The sequence below is a fragment of the Homo sapiens genome, chromosome 2 (assembly GCF_000001405.40).
Source record: "Homo sapiens chromosome 2, GRCh38.p14 Primary Assembly".
NCBI lineage: Eukaryota > Metazoa > Chordata > Mammalia > Primates > Hominidae > Homo > Homo sapiens.
The window spans coordinates 71,667,661-71,687,782 of NC_000002.12; the positions used below are offsets into that span (position 1 = coordinate 71,667,661).

Sequence of the window (20,122 nt, forward strand, 5' to 3'; positions counted from 1 at the left end):
GGCCATGGTTGGCCTGGGAGGGGATCTTTAGGTCCTGGCTTCCTCTGGCTGCCTCCATCCCTCAGGGCCTGCGAAACGAGGCTGAGCTTCTCCCCTCACCCCTGTAGGCCTGGCCTCCGACCTCTCCTTGTCATCCTGAAGCCTCTCTGTTTCAGCCTGACTTCAGGTTGGATTCCCCCATCCAACCACTATCTGTCAGTGACTCAGTCTCAGATGCCCGGCCCTGTGCTGGGTGGCTGTGGGGTATGCAGCCAGGGTGGCCCTGGCATCCTATGACCAAATGACAAAGCCACCCACAGAGAGCAGTCCTCAGTGGGAGGGGAATCCTCCCACGCTGAAGGGCGGGGACCACAGAGACAGCAGCCTTGGGATGGTGACAGGGAGGGCTTCCTGGAAGAGGTGAGCTCAGAGCTGGGTTTTGGAAGAGGAGAAGGGGAGACAAGGTTATAGGCAAAGAGAAAGGCCAAAGTGAGCCATGAGGATGCCTTTGTGAATGCCAGAGGACATTACCTCTGTTGTTTGGAACTGAGCTCTCTCTCCACCTAGGTGGTTTGGCTACCGGCCTCCCCAAAGTGGCACAACAGGTGTGGAAACTTCAGCTCTTTCATCTTCTAGTTCTGTGACCCTGCAGAAGTGACTTAATTGAATTACTTCAATTCCTGCTCCTTCTGCTCTAAGATGAGACAAATTCACACCTCGCTTGCAGAGAGGGAGGAGGATAAGGGGTGGGCAGGGAGAGTGATGTCCTGCCATGGAAGCCTTCTGAGCCCTCCATAACTGAACGGTGCTCTTTGACACGCCACGACTGTGCACATGCCATTCCCCTGGCTGCCAAGACTCAGCTCAGCCACCACCATCTCTGAGAAGCCCACCCTGACCCTTGACCCCCAGGCACAGGCCCAAGTCAGAGGCCTGTGGGGCAGTGGTCACCTCTGCGGTTGACCCTGTAGTCCCCTGTTTAGGGCAGTGAGGCTTTCTCTGGAAGGGCCTGGGTTTCTCTGTTCTGTGCCCTCAGCATCTGGCCCAGAGCAGGTGCTTGGTAACAGCTGGTTAAATGAGAAGGGTGGGGAGAGAACGGACCCTGTCTCCGCAGGGGAAGCTGCAGATGTGGGTCGACCTATTTCCGAAGGCCCTGGGGCGGCCTGGACCTCCCTTCAACATCACCCCACGGAGAGCCAGAAGGTGACTTGCCCAGCCACAGGCTCTGAGCTGGGCTGAGGGGTGGGGGCGTTGCAGCCTGCTGTGGGCGGGACTAGGCGGTTGCTCTTTTCTGCCGGGCTTCAGGCTATTTGGGCCATGGAATACAGTTCTCGTTTGGGCCTGGGCCAGTGTCCAGCCAGGCAGGCATCGAGTCCTCTTGGACCAGTCTGCTTCTTGGCTTCTTGGCTTCTTAAGGCCTTCCCATCCTTTGGTAGGAAATCTAGGTGGATTAGAGTGATACCTTTCCCCAGGTTTTTCCTGCGTTGTATTATCTGGAATACCAGAGATGTGATCCTGGATGACCTGAGCCTCACGGGGGAGAAGATGAGCGACATTTATGTGAAAGGGTAGGGAGCCAGCGTCCTCTTGCCTGTCCAGCTTCCCGCAGCTCCCGTGCTCCCTCTGGGTTGTGCACAGCACGGGGGGCTCTGGCTCAGGGAAGGGAAGAACAAACAAACTTCCAACGAGGGCTCCTGGGGGTGGTCCCTGCCTTTGGGGAAATCGCTCTCCCACCAGATTTCTTTTTCTGCACTGAACTTTGGGTTGAACTTACAAGTTTAGTGGCTGGGAAGTTAGAATGTTTTCAAATTTATGGCACATTTTGTACATCGTGCCGATTTCCTGGGAATTCTTTTTGCGATAAGCTCATTTACCTTCTTAACTCCTTGTCTGCCTAAGTTGACGATGTATATACTGTGTTGGAAATCTTAATGAGAACTATTCTCTAAAAACATGTATGTCTAGTTGGATGATTGGCTTTGAAGAACACAAGCAAAAGACAGACGTGCATTATCGTTCCCTGGGAGGTGAAGGCAACTTCAACTGGAGGTTCATTTTCCCCTTCGACTACCTGCCAGCTGAGCAAGTCTGTACCATTGCCAAGAAGGTCAGTGTCCTTCCGATTCCCTGTGGTGCCAGCACCAGGGCTTCTAAAGTTAGCCTGACCTGACCACCACGTCCCTGCCTGGCAACTGTCACAATCTCACTGCTGCCCCACCATGTTGGAGCTACCACTGCCATCTCCACATGGCCACCACCTCCACTGTCCCAGCACTGCCAGTGTCACCACCACTGCTGTCTCAGCATTGTGTGATGGCCTCTGTCCCATCACAGCCAATGTCACCGTGGCTGCTGTTCCATCACTACTGGTGTTATCACAACTGTTGCCTCCTCACTGCCAAATGTCACCACCACTGTTCTGTCATTCATGGCACTACCGTGGTCCCACCCCTGCTGTCATTACCCCCAAAGCCACCTCCACCATCTCTGCATCCACCCCTTTTCCACTCTCTTCCACCATCTTTCCCATCCCCAGCCCTGCCGCCACCCCATGGCCACCTCATGATCACACAGTGCCATATCCATCATTTGCAGCTAAATCCAGATCCCAAAGTCACTGCCTCCCTCCCTACCTCAGACAAGTTAAGCAGCAGGAAGGACCATGGGGTCTGAGTGGGTAGAGTAGGGACACCCAGCATGGCCTTCAAAAGGGCAGTGGGGCAGACCCCATGGGGGAGCTTCCCAAGAAGGCCAGTCTGGCCTATAGATCATGGTGTCCACAGGATTGGGAGTTGCTTGGCTAAGTCTTTCTCATATCCCATTTTCCACATCTGTGCCTATGGTCACCGTCCAAGCTAGGTCACAGTCCAAGTGTGCCTGCAAGGCCCACAGCCATCACCCTCCTCTCTCCACTCCCACCTCTCACTACAGGCCAAAGGCACCTAGGGAGACCTGGCTTGCATCAGCCAGAGGGGAGGCTGGATTTGGGGACCTCGGTCTCTGTGTCTCAGCATCTGCTAGTTTAGGTCTCATCTGGGGCGTCAACTTTTTACCCCTGAACTAGGCAGAACTCGAGGACAGCCAGCCTCTTCCTGGTAGGACCAGGCCTGCCCTCAGAGAGCAGCCCCCAGAGCACAGAATGGGTGCTGAGGGCAGTGGAGACTTCAGGGCTATGCTGGTTGGAGGCAGAGGGGTCTCTGCTGTAGCTTCTGGCCATCCTTGTCCCACCCGGCATTAAATTCCACCCTGAGGTGCTCTCCAACTCAAGGGGGTAAATGCCTCTCTGGCATCTAGATTCTGCTGGCCCGATTTCCTTCCAGAGGTGGCTCAAGGCTTTAAGCCTCAAAGCTCCTATGACTCCTTGTCTCCTGAAAGGAAGGGGATATATGACGCGTTCCAGTGCCTGCATTTTCTTGATTCTCTTCATTACATCCCCTCTGCATGGCCCTTCCCAGCCTAACATGCAGGATCATCTGCACATTAGAGAAAGCAAAATGTTCCGCGGAACATTCTGAAACCATGAAACAAAAGAAAACATGGATTCAACAGGGTTAAGTGGATCCCTTTACCGAGCCATTGCTGTGGAGTGACTGGCAGAAAGCAGAATTGAGCAACAGGGTTCTGGGAGGTCAAGGAAAGCATGGGCCGTTTGCAGGTTGAGCCTCATTTGCTGCTGTTCAGTGTGCTTCCCTGACATGAGCCTGTTTCCATCAGAAAGCCAAGGTTGCATCTGCCCCAAGACACAGCACTGCCCCAGCCAGCTCTGCTGCAGACAGAGGGAGAGGGGGCCTGGGAGTGGAGAGGGAGGGCTGCGCCCCCCGTGGCACCCCCAGGGCTCACCTACAAGGGCTGGAGACTGAGACCGAGAGGAATGGGAGGTGGGACAGCCCCTTCCTCATGACAGGTGGAGATGTGGATTAGGAGTGGCTGTTTTGTCTCTGAAGTAAGAGGAGAGATGATCTGGTACTGGGGCAGGTGACTTGAGACCAGTGGAAAAGGCTGGAAAGAGCTGCTATGAGTGACAGTGAGGGAGGGACACAGAGAGATGGGGAGGGAATGTGACTGGCAGCACAGAGAGGGTTACCCGGCAGTTCTGGGGACCCAGTTGTGGTTGCTGATTAAGAATTTGGGGTGGCTCCATTCTGGCAATGTTGTGGTTTTGTCTCTGCATCATAGGGCCTGGTCAGGAGGAAGGAAGAAGGGGAGAGTGGGGCCAACCCGTGGGCGAGTTCCAGAGGAAGACAGGGGTCGAGGATATGGAAGGGACTGCCTGATGGCCAAGAGGGTCTTGGTCAGACTTGGGAGAATGAGAAGCCCACAGGGGAGCAGGGGTGGCGAGGAGGAAGAGAGGTCAGAGAGTGGAAGGAGAGGCTCACTGGGAGGGAAGGCCAGAGGGGAAGGGACGTTCTCCGTGATGCCAGACTCTGGGGAGAAGGTGGCTGGAAGGAGGGGCGGAGAAGGTCAGAAGAGGAGGCTGAGAAACAGAAACAGAGGCCACGTGGCTCTGAAGTCAACCAGAGGTGGGAGACAGAAACTGGCTCGGCCGAAGGCGGAGACAGAAACTGGCTTGGCCGAAGGCAGAGCCAGAGGGTCCCTCTTGGAGTGAAGGGACCCTGGGAGGCAGGCAGAGCAGTGGCCACAGTGGGGCACCAGTTAGCTGGGTTGGGCTGAAGGATCGAGTCTGGATGGGTTCGTGCAGGGGCACTGCACAGCCTCTGGGCTCCCTGGGCCTGCCACGGAGCCAGCCCTCTGCCGTGGGGTTCAGGGCCTCTGGCAGGCAGGCCCTCCAGGGACCCCATTAACCAGACGAGACTGTCGTAAAGTACAAGGTCTCCTTTCATCCGGCGGCTTTGAACCACCACTGGTTGCCCCGGCCAGGCTCCCCACCTGGAGCCCAGCACACCCTGCACGTCAGGCACCCACCCTGCAAATAAACAGCTAGTAAAAGCGCCCAGGCCAGGAGCATAATGAGCGCCTGGGACCTGGGGGGGTTCATTCCCCAGGCTGGAGCCCCAGCCCAGCTGCTCCCACCAGGGGCCGTTTGAACCTCTGGCTCATTACCGAGCCCATAAACCAAGCTGGCCAGAGGAATGGAGGCTGCTGGCGGGCCATGCAGGCGGGCCTGCGGAGCTGGCCATAAAAGCTCGCCAGAGGAGGGAGGCACCTGCAGAAGGGCTGGGGCCCGGAAAAGGGGGGAGGCACCAGACAGAGGGCTGGAGGTGAGGGGCCAGCTGGAGACCTGAGCCCCTTCCCCAACCCAGGCAGCAGTCCAGGCCGTGGCTGGGTGCTTTGCACGGGGACTAGTCCTCACGGGGCAGGGGTCATGGTCTTCGGTTCGGGAGCTCACTGGGATTTCCGTGGCCAACCTCTGAGGCTGGGGTGGCCACACAGCAGGCCCTGGCTGGACAGCAAGGGTGGGTTTACCAGGCATTTGGTGGAGCTTTTCCCCTGCAGAGTTGGGTCCAGGCCCTTGCTCTGACCCGGCACTCAGGACTTGGCACCCACCATCTGCAGGGTGGTCACACTGTTTCCTGTCCTTGCCACTCACCCAGGGGAGAGTTATAGTGAGAAAACAGAGAACAAGACTGCGCTGGAAAGCCCTAGTGACAGTGCTGTGGGTTGAGTGTGGCTGGACTGAGGGGTGCTCCCCGGCCTCCGCATGTGCAGTCCCACACCGCTCAGTTGCTCCATGAAGCCTCAGTGGGAGGAAGCCCAAGATGACCTTGTTCCAGGCGAGCTGGTCTGAGGGAGGTGGGGTGGGGAGAGAAGGGCCCCTCCTCTCCTTTCAGCAGGAGACGGAACTTCCCAGCACTTCAGGCTTTGGCTTTGCCCTGGGTCAAGCTCTTGGAGTGAAGTTGGGTGGGGTGGAGAGGGAGGAGCTGGGGTCTAGATTCCAGTGCCAGCTCCTTACAGCAGCGTGCTGGGAGATCCTTCTATGACAGCCAGGGTAGGGTGGGGTCCCTCAGGGTCTCAGTTACCCCACCCTGACCCTGAGATGCCAGGTACAGAGCAAGGTTTAAGGTAGAGAGCAGGACTCTGGAACCCAGCTGCCAGGGTTTGAGTCCAGCTTGCCACTTCCTAGCTATGTGGTCTTGGACAAATTACTTGCTTTGGTCTCCTCCACTGTAAAGATAGTATCTCCTTTACAGGTGGTTGGAAGGATAAATGAGTTCATAGCAGTAGAGGGCCAACGCATAGGAAGCACTATATTAATGTTATTATTATTAGTGGTCAGACCTCAGGCACATTCCTTTAACTTCTCCAAGCCTCACCTTCATCATCTGTAAAATGGGAGTGATAACCTTGACTTACAGAGTTGGGAGGATTAATGGAGCCATCTTATGTGAACTGAGCCTGCACGGTGCCCTTTTGGGCCCTTGAACACTGCCTTCTGGGATCTGTCCTTCCCAGTCTTCCCACAGGACCTGGCTCTGGCAGGTCCCTTGGGGACATCCTACTCCTCTGCCTCCTCCAGGCAGCCTTCCAGGCTGGAAGGGAACACTGCCTCTCTCTAACCTTGCTTCCTTGCATCCTTCTCTGTTCCTCTTCCGGGTCAGGATGCCTTCTGGAGGCTGGACAAGACTGAGAGCAAAATCCCAGCACGAGTGGTGTTCCAGATCTGGGACAATGACAAGTTCTCCTTTGATGATTTTCTGGGTAAGCGCTATTGCTAGAATCCCATTCTGCACATGGGGGCTGCCCCAGAACCCACACTGTGTGTTTATGCCACTGTTGGACCCTTGGGGAAGCCTAGCAGGAGGAGTGATCCCACTTTCTGCTTTCAGGGAGCTCAGGGTCATGTGTCCCCAGTGTTAAGTGAGGTGTATGACACACAGCAGTGTCAGAGTGATTGGTGGCCACTGAGGGTGGGCCTGTCAGTAGAGGTGGCACTGAACACTGGGCCATGTTGGATGATGGGACTCAGATATGTAAGTAAGCGAGGGACGCAAGTGTGTGCTGCCTGTCGCCAGCTGTCTGGCCTCACATTTGACACAGACTGAGCCCTGTGAGTGAGGGTCTCAAGTCAGTCTTCATCCTTGTGCCTGTGTGACCGACTGAGTGAACAAACCCAGGCTCTATCCCCATTACCCCCAGACAGGGTTCTAGTGGGAAGGGCTGTGATGAAATCTGGGACTGGGGAGCAGGGAGGCTGGGTTGAATGGAAGGTGGTGATGGTGGCCTTGTAGGGTTAGGATATGGGGACAAGGAGGAAGACATTGTATGGGGCCTGCACGCTCATCTGTGAGAGCAGTGAGTTCAAGATAGCCCTGTCATGGCTATAAAGGTTAACTCTGGAAAATGTGGTCTATCCATACAATGGGAGAGTATTCAGCCATGAAAGCAATGAAATACTGATACATACTACACTGTAGGTGAACCTGAAAACATGCCAGGTGAAAGCAGCCAGACACAAAAGGTCAAATATTATATGGCTTCATGTATATGAAATGTCCATAATAGGCAAATCCATAGAGACGGAAAATAGGTTAGTGGTTGCTAGGGATTGGGGGAGGGGGGATGGGGAGTGACTGTGATGGGTAAGAGGTTTCTTTTTGCGGTGATGGAAAGGTTCTGGAATTAGATGGTGGTGAAGGTTGCACAACTCTGTGAATATACTCAAAGGCACTGATTTGTACACTTAAAGTGGTTAAAGTGGTGCATTTATGTGAGGTGGATTTTACCTTGATTAAAAAATAAAGCGAGCTTGTGAAAACGGCAACCCAGGAAGTCAGGATCCCTGGTTTCTAGATCCATTCTGCCACTTGGGAGCAGGGTGGCCTGGAGCCCTCTTGGGGTAGCCCTTGACTGGAGAAGGTGAGTCGTTCTTAGCTGAGCCCTGGGGCCCCTGCAGGGGATATTCTGAGGCGCGGCTTCCGGCAGTGGGGAGAAGGCTGCCTGTTCACTTGACTGTTCCCCCGCCCTGCGCACCTGGCCTGGCCAAATGCCCAGAGAACTTTGTTATAAAAGCATCAGGTGCAAAAAGCGTGGCACCAAGTTTGACTTCTATTATTTTACTTATTATTTTGTACATAATTCCTGTAGAGGAATTAGAAAATGCAGGTAAGGAATTAGAAAATGCAGGTAAGCAATGCTTCCTCCCCACCTTAATCTCACCACCCAATTTCTACTAACATTTTGGCATGTATTATTGTATTATATATTATTTGAGACTTAAACAAACATAAGTATTTTATATATGTATTTATATATACACATGTACATGCATACATATATAATATATACATATATTCATATGTATATGAATGGATTTCTATTACACAGACTGTTTTATATCCTGATTTTTGAAAAACCTAATATTCCAAGAACATCCTTTCTGGTCAGTAGGTATCGATCTGCATTTATATCTCCATCATCACACTTAATGCCTGCCTATGTTTTGTCATAGACGTGGGCCCTGTTTTGATTAATCCTCTCCTGGTGGGTATTCAGGTCATCTCCAGGTTTCCCAATGTGAGTAACACCCTCGGCATATGCACATCCTTCGATCCTTTGTGCATATCTTTCCTTAACTCTGAGAAGTAGATATGTCTTTGTACATTTTAATGGCTTTTGAAACATTTTGTTCAGTTGCCCTCTAGAAAGGTTTTACTTGTTTATACTCCCACCTGTGCCCTGTTTGTACAGGGTGCCATTTTCCCTAAACTTTTGCTACCACTGTACATTAAAAAAAAATTGCCAATAAGATATTTCCTTTTTATTTGCATTTTTTATTGCATTTAAGGTAGAACTTTAAAATATATTTATTATCCGTATTGTGGAATTTTCTTCATGGTTTTGCAATATTCATCTTTTATTATTGATTTTCAGAGCCTTTTATGTATTAAGAATACATTGCAAATAATTTCTCCCAATTTTTCTTATGCTTTAAAATTTTTATGGAGACTTTTTTTCTTACAGACTTTGTGAATTTATGGCATCAATCTTTCCTTTATGAAGTGAGGCTTTAGAAAATTAGTTTTTAAAAGAAAAACAAAAAAAAAACCCTGTGTTTTTTACTGACTGAGTAAATCATGTTCAAAGTAAAGTTAAACAGACTCATCCTTTGTTTTAAAAAATAAAACCATTAACGAATACTAGCTTTTATATCCATGAAATTTTTCTTTTCCACCTTCATAATTTGTTTTCTAATTACATAACTTGTGTCTTTTGAATATTTATTACTTTTTAATTTTAAAGGTAATGGTTAAGCACCTATAAGCTCACCATCCAGATAGCCTGTGTTTCCTTACAGTCTTTTATGTAGATCATGCTGAGATAATGTGTGTGTATGTGTGTGTGTGTGTGTGTGTGGTTTAATATTCTGACATTTGCTTAATATATTGGCACCATATTTCAAATAGAAAATAAACATTCATTCATCTGCACTGGAGGGATGGAGAAATATATGGGTGGGTGGAGCATAGATGAATGCCGATATACAGTTGAATAAGTGGACAGACAGGTGGAATAATAACCTGATTAATGGATAGATATAGTGCTTAACAAATGGTAGCTATAGAGGAATGTGGATAGTTAGGTCAAAGCAGACGCACAGATGGAAGGACGGATTGATAAATGGATGAGTGGAAAGAAAGAAAACTAGAAAAAGAGTTATATTTAATGTTCGGTTATAGTAACTATGCATTCTACACTGAAAAAAATTGAAACACCTTTGCATGGTGTTTGAGAATTTCTTTAATTTGGCTTCAGAAAATAATTTTTCTATTGATCTCTCTTAATCCCTTTGGCAACCTATGCTCCAATCCCATTGACTTTATCAGATTATGATTAGATTAGGCGAAACCACATGAAATTGCTGTTTAAATGGGTCAAAGATAGTTAAATACAAGAATTTTCATATGGTTCAACCTAATAGCTGAAGGTATCCTGGGAGATGATAGATAAAAGGGATGATTAGATAAAACAATAAAAAAAGATGGCTGCTTGGATAACTAGGTGGTAGATGAAAAAGACTGTTGGATGAACCACAGTGAGGTACCACTTCACACCTACTAAGATAATAGTAATAATAATAAACCAGAATATAGCAAGTGTTTTGAGGATGTGGAGAAATTGCTGGTGTGCTGGGACATTGGTGGTTTGAGTGTAAAATGATTCGGCTGCTGTGGAAAACTGTTTGGCAGTTCCTTGAAAAGCTGATCATAGAATTGCTAATGAACAAAGAATCCTACTCCAGGTGTGTGTGTACCCCAAAGAATTGAAAACAGGGACTCAGACATTTGTGTGCTAACGTTCACTGCAACATTATTCATAATATGAAGTTAAAAGATGGGAACACCTCAAGTGTCCATCAACAGATGAATGAATGAACAAAGTGTGGTACAGGTTAAATATAACTTATCTGAAATGCTTGGAACAGAAGTGTTTCAGATTTCTGATGCTTTTTGGATTTTGGAATAATTGCATATACTTAATAAGATATCTTTGGGATAGGACCCAAATCTAAATACAAAATTTTTTTCATATATACTTTGTAAGCATAGCCTGAAGGGAATTTTATAGAATATTTAAGATAATTTTATGCATGAAACAAAGTTTAAGTACGTATGTGTGGAGTTTTCCACTTGTAGCATTATGTTGGCAATCAGAAACTTTCAGACTTTGGAGCATTTCAAATTTCAGATTTTCAGATTATGCATGTTCAACCCGTATATGCCTAGAATGGAATCTTACTCAACCATAAAAAAAATACAGATTAAAAAAACACTACTGATATATACAACAAGGATGAACCCTGAAAACATTATGGAAATCAAAATAAGCCAGACACAAAAGAACAAATATTGTATGATTCCACTTATATGAAATATCTAGAATAGACAAATTCATAGAGACAGAAAGTAGACTAGAGGTTACTGGGGCGAAGGGGAGGGAGGAATGGGGAGTTATTGCTTAATGGGTGCAGAGTTTTTGTTTGGGGGATGGAAAAGTTTTAGAAATAGTAGTGATGGTTGTACAGCATTGTGGCTGTAATTAAAGCCACTGAATTGTACACTTAACATGGTTAAAATAACAAATTTCATGTTATATGTATTTTACCATGATAAAAATAATTAAAAAAAAATTGATGTATGGCTGTTTATAGACGGTGTATGAATGGATTTGTACATAGATGAGTAATTGAAGAGGTGGGTGGCTTTGTTAAGGGTGAGTAAATAGGAGTGGATGAACATGCATATGAACGCATGAGTAGATGAATGGGAAGCTGTATAGATGGAATGGGAGACAATGGGTAGGGAGGTGGAGAGTTCGTGAGATTTTACCTGTGGCTCGGCCATGGATAGAAGCTGGTGACAGAGGTGACTGAGTTTTTCCTGAACCTGCCCTGCCTAAGGGTGGCTACAGGCTGGCAGTGATCGAGAAACCCTTGGCCAAAAACTACCTCTCTGTTGCAGGCTCCCTGCAGCTCGATCTCAACCGCATGCCCAAGCCAGCCAAGACAGCCAAGAAGTGCTCCTTGGACCAGCTGGATGATGCTTTCCACCCAGAATGGTTTGTGTCCCTTTTTGAGCAGAAAACAGTGAAGGGCTGGTGGCCCTGTGTAGCAGAAGAGGGTGAGAAGAAAATACTGGCGGTAAGTCTACTTCCTCCAGCCCCAGTGGAGGGCATGGGGGAAGCTTCTTCCATAGAAATTGTCAGAAAATACGTCATCAGAAAATACATGCTTACTGTTCCTCCTCCTTTCTCCCCCTCTCCTGCCCCCATCCCCCCTCTCTCTCTATTTTCCAAGGCATTCTCCCTCTTTCCTCCCAATTCCCGGTCGCCTTCTCCTTTGCGGCTCACATCCCAGGGGAAGCCTATTTAAACCAAAAGATTACTCTGTTTATACTCTACTCATTGGCTTTAATAGTGACCTGTGTCCTGGGTTCCCTCTGATCTGGACTTCCTGGGTGAATGGGCGGGGGTCATGCCTCTCCCATTTGAGCAGGACCCTCCAAGGGACCATCCTTATTCTGCTCTCTGAGAGGTCTGCTTAGAGGGGTGACTGGAGGGCCCGAGAGAACCGTCCTTCCCCTGAGTCCACAGCAGCCATGGAGAGGAAGTTAATCCCTGAAAGTTTACTTAGAAATTTCAGGCAGCCAGCCAACCCTGAAAGTGGTCCTTGAAATTGAATATACTTGTTATATAAAGAGTGGTAACAATAAGAAATACTAGTACCCCAAAGGAAAAATGAGAAAACGACATGCATAGCTAATTCACAAAATAATTACCAATGTCTGCAAAGCATTTTTAAAAAGGTTTAGTCTCTCCAGTAATTAAATAAAGGGATACAGTAGTCCCCCCCTTATCTGGAGGAGATATGTTCCAAGACCCCCAGGGGATGCCTGAAACTACAGATAGTACTAAACCCGTATTATGTACTGTGTTTATTCCCATCTATACATATCTATGAGAAAGTTTAATTTCTAAATGAGGCACAGTAAGAGATTAACAACAATAACTAATAATAGAACAATTATAACAATATATTGTTATAAAAGTTAGGTGAATGTGGTCTTTCTCTCTGTGTGTCAAAATATCTTACTGTACTGCCCACGGGTAGCTGAAACCCTAGAAATCAAACCCAAAGATAAGGGAGGACTACTGTATTTTTAAATGTGTTTTTTTTGTCTGTTAAATTATATATATTTTTAAAACAGAAATGCTCATTGCTGCTGAGCATGCAGAGAGAAGACAGGCCCCCCTTTTACTTCTGCTGGGAGCACTAATGGTTTTACTGTGTGGAGGAAGAAATTTGATAACATATAGTAACAGATTTAACAATATTTATGCCCTCGGACTCTGTCATCCGACTTCTAAAATCCTTCTAAATAAATAACCCAATAAATTTTAAAAGTCTAGGTTCTGGGATATTTGTTGCAGCATTATTTACCCTATCAAAGAGTTGGAAACAACCTAAATGAACCAAAATAAGTAGTTTACTAAATAATTATGGTCAACCATCCCATACAATGTTTGGCAGTCATTAAAAACCGAACTTTAAAGAATAGACAACTACATAGTGAAATATATTCCGAAGTGAAAAAAGCCATCTATGGAACTGTATATGCACAGTGTGACATTTCATAAGCTTGCAGAGAAAATCAGCTATGATGCATGCAAATGTTAACAGTGCTTGTCTCCATGTAGTGGAAGTAGGGGTGGCAGTCTCCCTTCTTTATACATTTCTGAAGTTTCCAAATGTTTTACAAAGAGCAGGTGCTGCTTTTATGTTCAGAAACCCTACATCTTTTTTTTTAAATAATGAAGTGGCCCTTATGTTTTTTCTGGCCTGGTTACTCTCCAGGCCACTGAGCAGAGCCTTCGTGCCCCTAACCAAGTGCTCTCTGTCCCCTCAGGGCAAGCTGGAAATGACCTTGGAGATTGTAGCAGAGAGTGAGCATGAGGAGCGGCCTGCTGGCCAGGGCCGGGATGAGCCCAACATGAACCCTAAGCTTGAGGACCCAAGGTCAGTGCCCAGCCCCTGAGCCCCAATGCCCACAGGTCTGGGGGTATAGGCCACAGTCCAGGAGGCATCCCATTGCATGGCCATGTAGAAGTCACAAAGCCCACGTGGCTCAGAGAGGGGCACGACTCATCCAAGGCCACACAGTAAGTTAGGGGGAAGGTGATGGGCATCTGTCCAGAGAACACTGGGCTCAGCGAATTCAAGATGCAGGTGCTATTGGGTACCTGTTGGTTGTGTGCCAAGCATGCTATCCTATGCATGTGTACATTGTGCTATGGAACCTTCCCTGCAGGGTAGTTGTTATTATCCCCATTTTACAGATGAGGAACAATCTCAGCAAAGTTAAATAAGGGCATTCCAGCTAGGACAGTGGTGAAGCAGAAATGCTCTCACCTGGTCTGATTGGCTCCAGAGCCCGATCAAGGTCTTGACCCTACCAAGCTGCCTTCGGTGGCTCTCCTATGGTGCCAGTGTGACTTTCAAATGGTTTTTCAGCCTTCATTTTTCCATCTGTGAAATGGGGAGCCCAATCCCTGTCTTCCCTACATCACAGACCTCTTGGGGAGATAGACCAAGCCAATGGATGTAGATGCTGTGAAGGCAGTTACAGGGGCAGAGTCACTGAAAGATGGCTGTGGGGGCTCAGGAATGTGTTTGCTGGATCCCGCCCCACCAGCCTACTTGGCTCAAGTTGGATTTAGCATAGATGGCTCAGTTAGTCACCATGCTGTGATTAGCACCGTGTGCCTGAGTGCCATGGGGCTGGCAGAGCAGTGAGAGGCACCCTTGCCTAAGGATGCTGGGATCTGCACAGGAAGAAAAGAGAGACCCGTGAGACACCAGTGTGCAATCTGATGTTAACGGGGCCATGATGGAGACCCAGAATCCTCCACGTATTTTGAGATGTGGAGCTGGCCTAGGGAAAGGTTTTGAGATTCTTGGTTGTGAGAGAACCAGCTTCCTATGTTCTCTTCCCACCGTTGTTCCCTGAGCATGGACTAGCCATGTGCATCTGGGCAGGTGTCTTGGCTTATCTGGGGCTCGGTGGGCTGGAGAGCACTTTGAAGCACTGCCCAGCTCCTAAATCTGCAGTTTGTGATTAAGTCCTGGGTCAGGAATGGGTGAGGGCACCAAGGAAGGTGTCCTGGAGAGGATGGCAGAGAAACTGGGCCACTGAGGATGCTTAGGGCTTGGCAGCACCCAGAAGAGGAGGGCAGCACAGGTGGGGGTGATACTGTAGCAAGGGCTTGGGGGAGAGGGAATGCAAGGTGCAAAGGGCTAGTTTAGGGACAGGGCCTGGGCAGGCGCTGGGGGTGGACTGTGGAGGGCCAGGCCATTGGACCTGCTGTTGAGAGAAGAGTTTGGAGAAAGCAGCCCTAGTAAAGGATGCCCAGTTGACCTCCGGGATCTCGCTTCCAGGCGCCCCGACACCTCCTTCCTGTGGTTTACCTCCCCATACAAGACCATGAAGTTCATCCTGTGGCGGCGTTTCCGGTGGGCCATCATCCTCTTCATCATCCTCTTCATCCTGCTGCTGTTCCTGGCCATCTTCATCTACGCCTTCCCGGTGAGCAGGCCTGACGACACTGTGGTGGGGGAACTCTGGGTCTAATGGGGGAGTTCATCATTGTCCTCAAAGAGCTCTCCCAGTCTAATGGAGAGAAGTAACCTCTGTCCTTGGAGAGCCCCTGGTCTGATGAGGATACAGAGCCCAGCTCTGGGGAGTCTCCAATCTGGTAGGTGTACAAAGTTCTACCCTTGGAGGCTCTTAGTCCAGTGAGAGAAACTGAGTTCTTGCCCTTCATGGTGAGACAAAGCTGTCCTCAGCAAGCCCCTAGAATTTGTAATGAAGGGGTTAGGAGAAGATGAGGCCCTTTGGGTTGCGGTGGGCAGGGGGACTTTCTGGAAGGGAGGTGTGGAACTGGGTCTGAAAGGAAGGTGAGATGTTGATGGCAGAGCAGAGAAGGTCCCTTTGTCTTAACAGCAGTTGCAAATCCAGAGGAAGGGAGGAGCTGGGGCTGGGAGAGCATCTCAGGGTCCACCTGAGGCACTCAATAGAGTGTGTCCTGCCTCCTGCAGCAGGTGGGCATAGGGAAGCTGTCGGGGAGCGGGAGGCTGGCCCAGGAGCCCTTACTTGGCTCGGTGCCCATTTGGGTTTCCTTTCACTTGGTAAGAAGCCAATTGATGAGCTTGTGGGGCCATACCAGAGGTGGCTGTCGTGCCCTTGCTCTGTGGGGCCCTGCCTGGGGGAGGAAGGTCCCTGCCTGTGCTTCCCCAGCCCGCACAGCTCATCAGGGAACCCGGATCACCAGGGAGCCTCCCCCAGTGTCTCTGATACTTTAGACCTTGAAGGGGTTGCAGCATTCTCAGGCTGACACCTGATTTCTAATGCTCTTTAAAATTTAAAAGAAATCTTTTTAATATGAAAACTCCAACCCTATATAAAAGTGGAGAGAATGGTGTAATCCACCCCTTGAGGACCTTATGTTGGTGGCAAAGACGCAAACACCCAGAGAAGGAAAGGGCCTGGCCGTAGGCTGCACAGTATTCCATGCACACTCCCAATCCAGGGCTCACTGTGATTCCCACTTCAGGCCTCAGTCCTGGTCAGCACCAGGCCACTGGCCCAGAGCATTGATCCCATGGCAGACAGGCTGCTTGGGGAACTGCCCCCAGGTGAGCTCTTTGCTCTGTGAGTCCTCCAGGAGGAGGAAAGGGCAAGAGCCCCTCCATCCCACTGCAGCTGGCTATGCCCATGTCTGCAGAATGCATCTCAGAGAGGAAGAGAGTTATAACCACACAGCTTTCCATGCAGTTCTAACAGCTGAACTGAGAGGAGCTGGGGAAAGGATGTCTGGTTTGGATGTCCGGACCAGCTACCATCTGGGCCATAGTGACTAAGGAGAGTCTAGAACCAGGGTGGTGAAGGGTCTGCCTACAGGCCAGGCCTGCTAAGCTGGCTGTGGTCACCTGAGGCGCAATGGAGAAATGTTTCTGAGGTTCTGAGGTTTGTCCATCAGCAAAATCTGACTGTGGTCCAGGGTAGATCTAGGTTGCAGGGACTCGAGGTGTGTACGATGTGGGAGGCCTCTTTAAGCCAAGGGAGACGAGATTACAAATATAAGCTGAGATACAGGACTGTGGAAGAGTGTGTGCACGTGTGGTGTCCTGCAGCATGAGCTGTTGCTGTGACCTGAGATCCGGGGTCAGGCCCCAGGACTTCTGCCTGGTGTCTCCTGCCCAGGGGGCACCCTTCCCAGCCTGCCTCAAGCTCCTCCTCCCATTCGGAGCCCAGCTGGCCAGTGTTCAGTTAGCCACAGAGACTCTAAGCACGTGTGTGCGTCTGGGAGGTAAGGGCGTGTTTTGGGGATGAGGGAGAAGAGGATGAGGCCTCATGCCACTGGGGAGTGCTCACTTCCCTGGGGAGACATTGAAACCAGAGAGTAAGGAAAAGTACTGTGGATGATCAAATGCTCTTTTGGGAGGCTCAGGCCGTGGGAGTTTAGGAAGAGAAGAGCTGCTGCAGACCCTCGCCCTTGGTGTAGTCGGAGGACTAGCAGCAGTAGCACCAGGGAACTCACTAGAAACTCAGAGTCCCCGGCCGGCCCCGGCCTGCTGAGGGGGAATCTGCATGTAGGCACATGATGGTTGGAGAAACCCTGTTGGATGTGACAGAGCTCTGTCGCTGGAGTCAGGATTATGGACTCTTCCTGTGACCTTGGCAAATCCCTCCTGCTCACATGAGGAAGGGGCTGCACTAGGTTAGCTCTGGCCTTCTGTGGCTGGGACTGTGCTTAGGGGAGCACTGTCATCTTCCCTGGCTGCTGTATATTAAGCCAAGCCTCCTTCTGAAAAGCCAAGGGGAGGGGAAAGGCAGGTCCAAAGTGGCATCACCACCACCCATGACATGCCTAAGCCCAGCCCCTGCCAGCTGCACCCTGCACTGCTAGGCTACTGGGCAGCAGATCTAGGCCTCCAGGGGCCTGGGGAAGGAGGCCCTGCTGCCTGGCTGGGAGAGGAAGGAAAGATTTCCAGTCACTTCCAGCCTGTGGTCCTTCCTCATCGCTGTGGGCAGAAGCAGAGTGGTACTGTGGGGGGCCTGGTCAGAGCTCCTCCCTGTCTCCTGTCCCCCCAGCAGCGGGCCACTCTCCTTTGAGTTCTTCTGGAAGTTGTCCTCTTTAAAATATGGACCCTGCTTCCCCTCTCCCAGGGCTGGTGTGGGGATGTCAGATCCTAGGTAAGGGGTCTAGGGATGAAGGGGGTGGCCTGGGCCTGAGGCTGCAGACTGGCTTTGCTCACAGGTCTTTGCTACAAGCTGAGCACATCCTGCCTCCTTCCACCCAAGTCACTCATTCATTTGGCCAGTACCAGATGATGAGGGCCGGGCCCTGGTGACCCTCACCTGGCTTTCAGGCCATGGGACAGAGGCTGCCTGCCCCAAGCCAGGGCCTAGTGGAGAGGGGCCCAAGGACAGGGCAGCTTCCTCCAGTTGGCCTAATCCCCTACCCTCTTGGAAATTCCCTTGGGAGGGGTATGAGGGGGCAGCCTGTCTGATTCCTCTCAGCTTCCCCCTCAGAGCCAGCCGGGAGCAGGGCCAGCGTGGGGAGGCAGGAGGCGTTTGGCGGGGAAGGAGGGCCGGCTCTGTTTCCAGAGTTGGCTTTCCCCAGCCGGCGCTGGGGAACATACTGTCCCAATTAGGAGCCCTGTATTGTGTTGTATGTGTTTTCATGGTTTTTGGGGGGAGAAGTGGGGAGGGGAGGATACTGTCAATCCTGCAGCAGGCAGGGCTCAATCAAGGGTGCCCTGTCTCTAGTGCTGGGCTGTGCCGTGGGTCATCCACGACAGCCCATCCCCAACTCTCTCTCTGCTTTCTGGACAGGGGTGTGATGACCCGTAAGCCCTGGGCTGCCATGTGGGGGAGGACCCTGGGCCCCACCTTCAGCACCTGTCTGATGGAAGAGGCCAGGTCCAGGGTGCTCAGAGTCCTCTGGGCAGTCAGCTGGAACCTGGAAATGGGCCTGGCTTGATGGGGGAGAAGACAGAGCAATTTGGGCAGCTTTGGCCCCCAGGTGGGAGGGTGCGGGTGGAGTTTCGGAGGGTATGGGTTTGCCTGATGGGCTGGAGCACTAGGCAGGGCGGAGTGTTGAGCCCCACATGGTATGGATGGCAAGTGGTGAGGGCGAGGCGTGGGCAGGTGGTTGAAGAGCCACGAGCGTCCTCTCCCAGCCTCTTGCCTGTTGGCAGCTTAGCCCCATCCTCTGAGCCCCAGGTCTGGGACAGCTGCTCTGGCTGTGCCTGCCCCAGTGGGATCACCATGGGTCCCTGTCTCCTCCCTCCCTCCAGAACTATGCTGCCATGAAGCTGGTGAAGCCCTTCAGCTGAGGACTCTCCTGCCCTGTAGAAGGGGCCGTGGGGTCCCCTCCAGCATGGGACTGGCCTGCCTCCTCCGCCCAGCTCGGCGAGCTCCTCCAGACCTCCTAGGCCTGATTGTCCTGCCAGGGTGGGCAGACAGACAGATGGACCGGCCCACACTCCCAGAGTTGCTAACATGGAGCTCTGAGATCACCCCACTTCCATCATTTCCTTCTCCCCCAACCCAACGCTTTTTTGGATCAGCTCAGACATATTTCAGTATAAAACAGTTGGAACCACACAGCAGTGTCAGTGTGTGTATCTCTACAGTACCTGAACAGGGAGTGACTGTGAAGGGGGATATGCCTGGGTGGGCGGGGAGGGTGGACGGGGTATGGGTGCTGCTTCCAGCCCAGCCTTCTGGAGGGAGAGGCAGCTGAGAAGCAGTGGGTGGGGCCCGTGGAACTGCTTCTTCTTTCACAAGACTGGTTGGGGGTGGGGTGGGCTTGGGGCTTGGTGTCTGGTTTGCCTTAGCCCCGGCCTCCTCTGCCTCCTCTCCAATCCAGGACTTTCCCCTTTCCCCCTGCCTTCTCCTTACTCGGGCACCCCCCCCGTCTCCCAGGCTGCCCTTTGCCTAGGAGGGCAGCTACCTGTATCTTCTGGTTTCTTTGACCATGCTAGGGAAGAGGTTCCATTTTATAGAAAGGGAACTCCAGTGGGGAGGGTTCGGCCAGAAATCCCCTAGGCAGGGAGGCCACTGTACCTCTGGCTTTGGCCTATTCCCATAGAATCCTGGGATTTCTTGCGATTCTCTCTCTCTGCTTCCTCTCTCTGCTTTAAGAATCCGATCTGGACAAAGACACCTTTTTCTTGTGGTCTAAAGCTTAGTTGTAGCCATTGGTTTGACATTTCCTGCAGGAATCAGGCTTAATCTACAGAAGCAGCAGGAACATACTTGGAGAGAAAGCCAAGCGCTTGAAAACATCACGTTTCCAAGAGTCTCCTGCATCTCTCGCCTGAGGGGCTGAACTCTGTGAGCACAGAGCTGGCAGCCTCCACTCCCGTTACCCAGCGGGTGTCCCCGGTTTTCCACGGTGACCCTGCATCCTGGCCCAGTCCTCCTTGGCTCTTCACTGATTGGCAGGACTGGGGGTGGTTGGGACAGGGTTGATGTCTGGAACCTGCCTGGGTGAGGGAGCTACACCTTGAAAGCAGGGTGCTTCTTACTTCAGGAGAGCTTCAGGCTAGAGGTGGCTATGAGTCCTGAGACCCTGACACCTGAACCCTAGAGCCAGGGGCCACGCCGCACGTAGGACACAG

The 20,122-nt window shown here is 50.8% G+C and overlaps 1 protein-coding gene across 14 annotated transcripts in view, besides 2 other annotated features; it reads left to right on the plus strand.

Moving 5' to 3' along the window:
- DYSF (dysferlin) overlaps window positions 1-19,103 on the plus strand; it is a 233,203-nt gene extending 214,100 nt beyond the window's left edge. For all 14 annotated transcript variants that reach the window (NM_001130979.2, NM_001130981.2, NM_001130980.2 and 11 more), the window contains 8 exons: window positions 1,094-1,182; window positions 1,452-1,547; window positions 1,945-2,086; window positions 6,537-6,636; window positions 11,397-11,575; window positions 13,341-13,450; window positions 14,870-15,017; window positions 18,794-19,103. In NM_001130979.2, coding sequence (NP_001124451.1) covers window positions 1,094-1,182; window positions 1,452-1,547; window positions 1,945-2,086; window positions 6,537-6,636; window positions 11,397-11,575; window positions 13,341-13,450; window positions 14,870-15,017; window positions 18,794-18,832 — 903 coding nt within the window. In that variant the 3' untranslated portion in view covers window positions 18,833-19,103. The remainder of the gene's footprint in view (window positions 1-1,093; window positions 1,183-1,451; window positions 1,548-1,944; window positions 2,087-6,536; window positions 6,637-11,396; window positions 11,576-13,340; window positions 13,451-14,869; window positions 15,018-18,793) is intronic.
- Window positions 3,223-6,102: an enhancer, noted in NCBI's record as "VISTA enhancer hs1479". NCBI's record gives its function as "enhancer in: limb[6/6] | tail[5/6]" and the evidence as "EXISTENCE:transgenic organism evidence [ECO:0001131][PMID:17130149]".
- Window positions 4,727-5,226: an enhancer, noted in NCBI's record as "H3K4me1 hESC enhancer chr2:71899517-71900016 (GRCh37/hg19 assembly coordinates)". NCBI's record gives its function as "activates a minimal SCP1, AML or CMV promoter by ChIP-STARR-seq in naive H9 embryonic stem cells {active_cell/tissue: H9 hESC(naive)}" and the evidence as "EXISTENCE:reporter gene assay evidence [ECO:0000049][PMID:30033119]".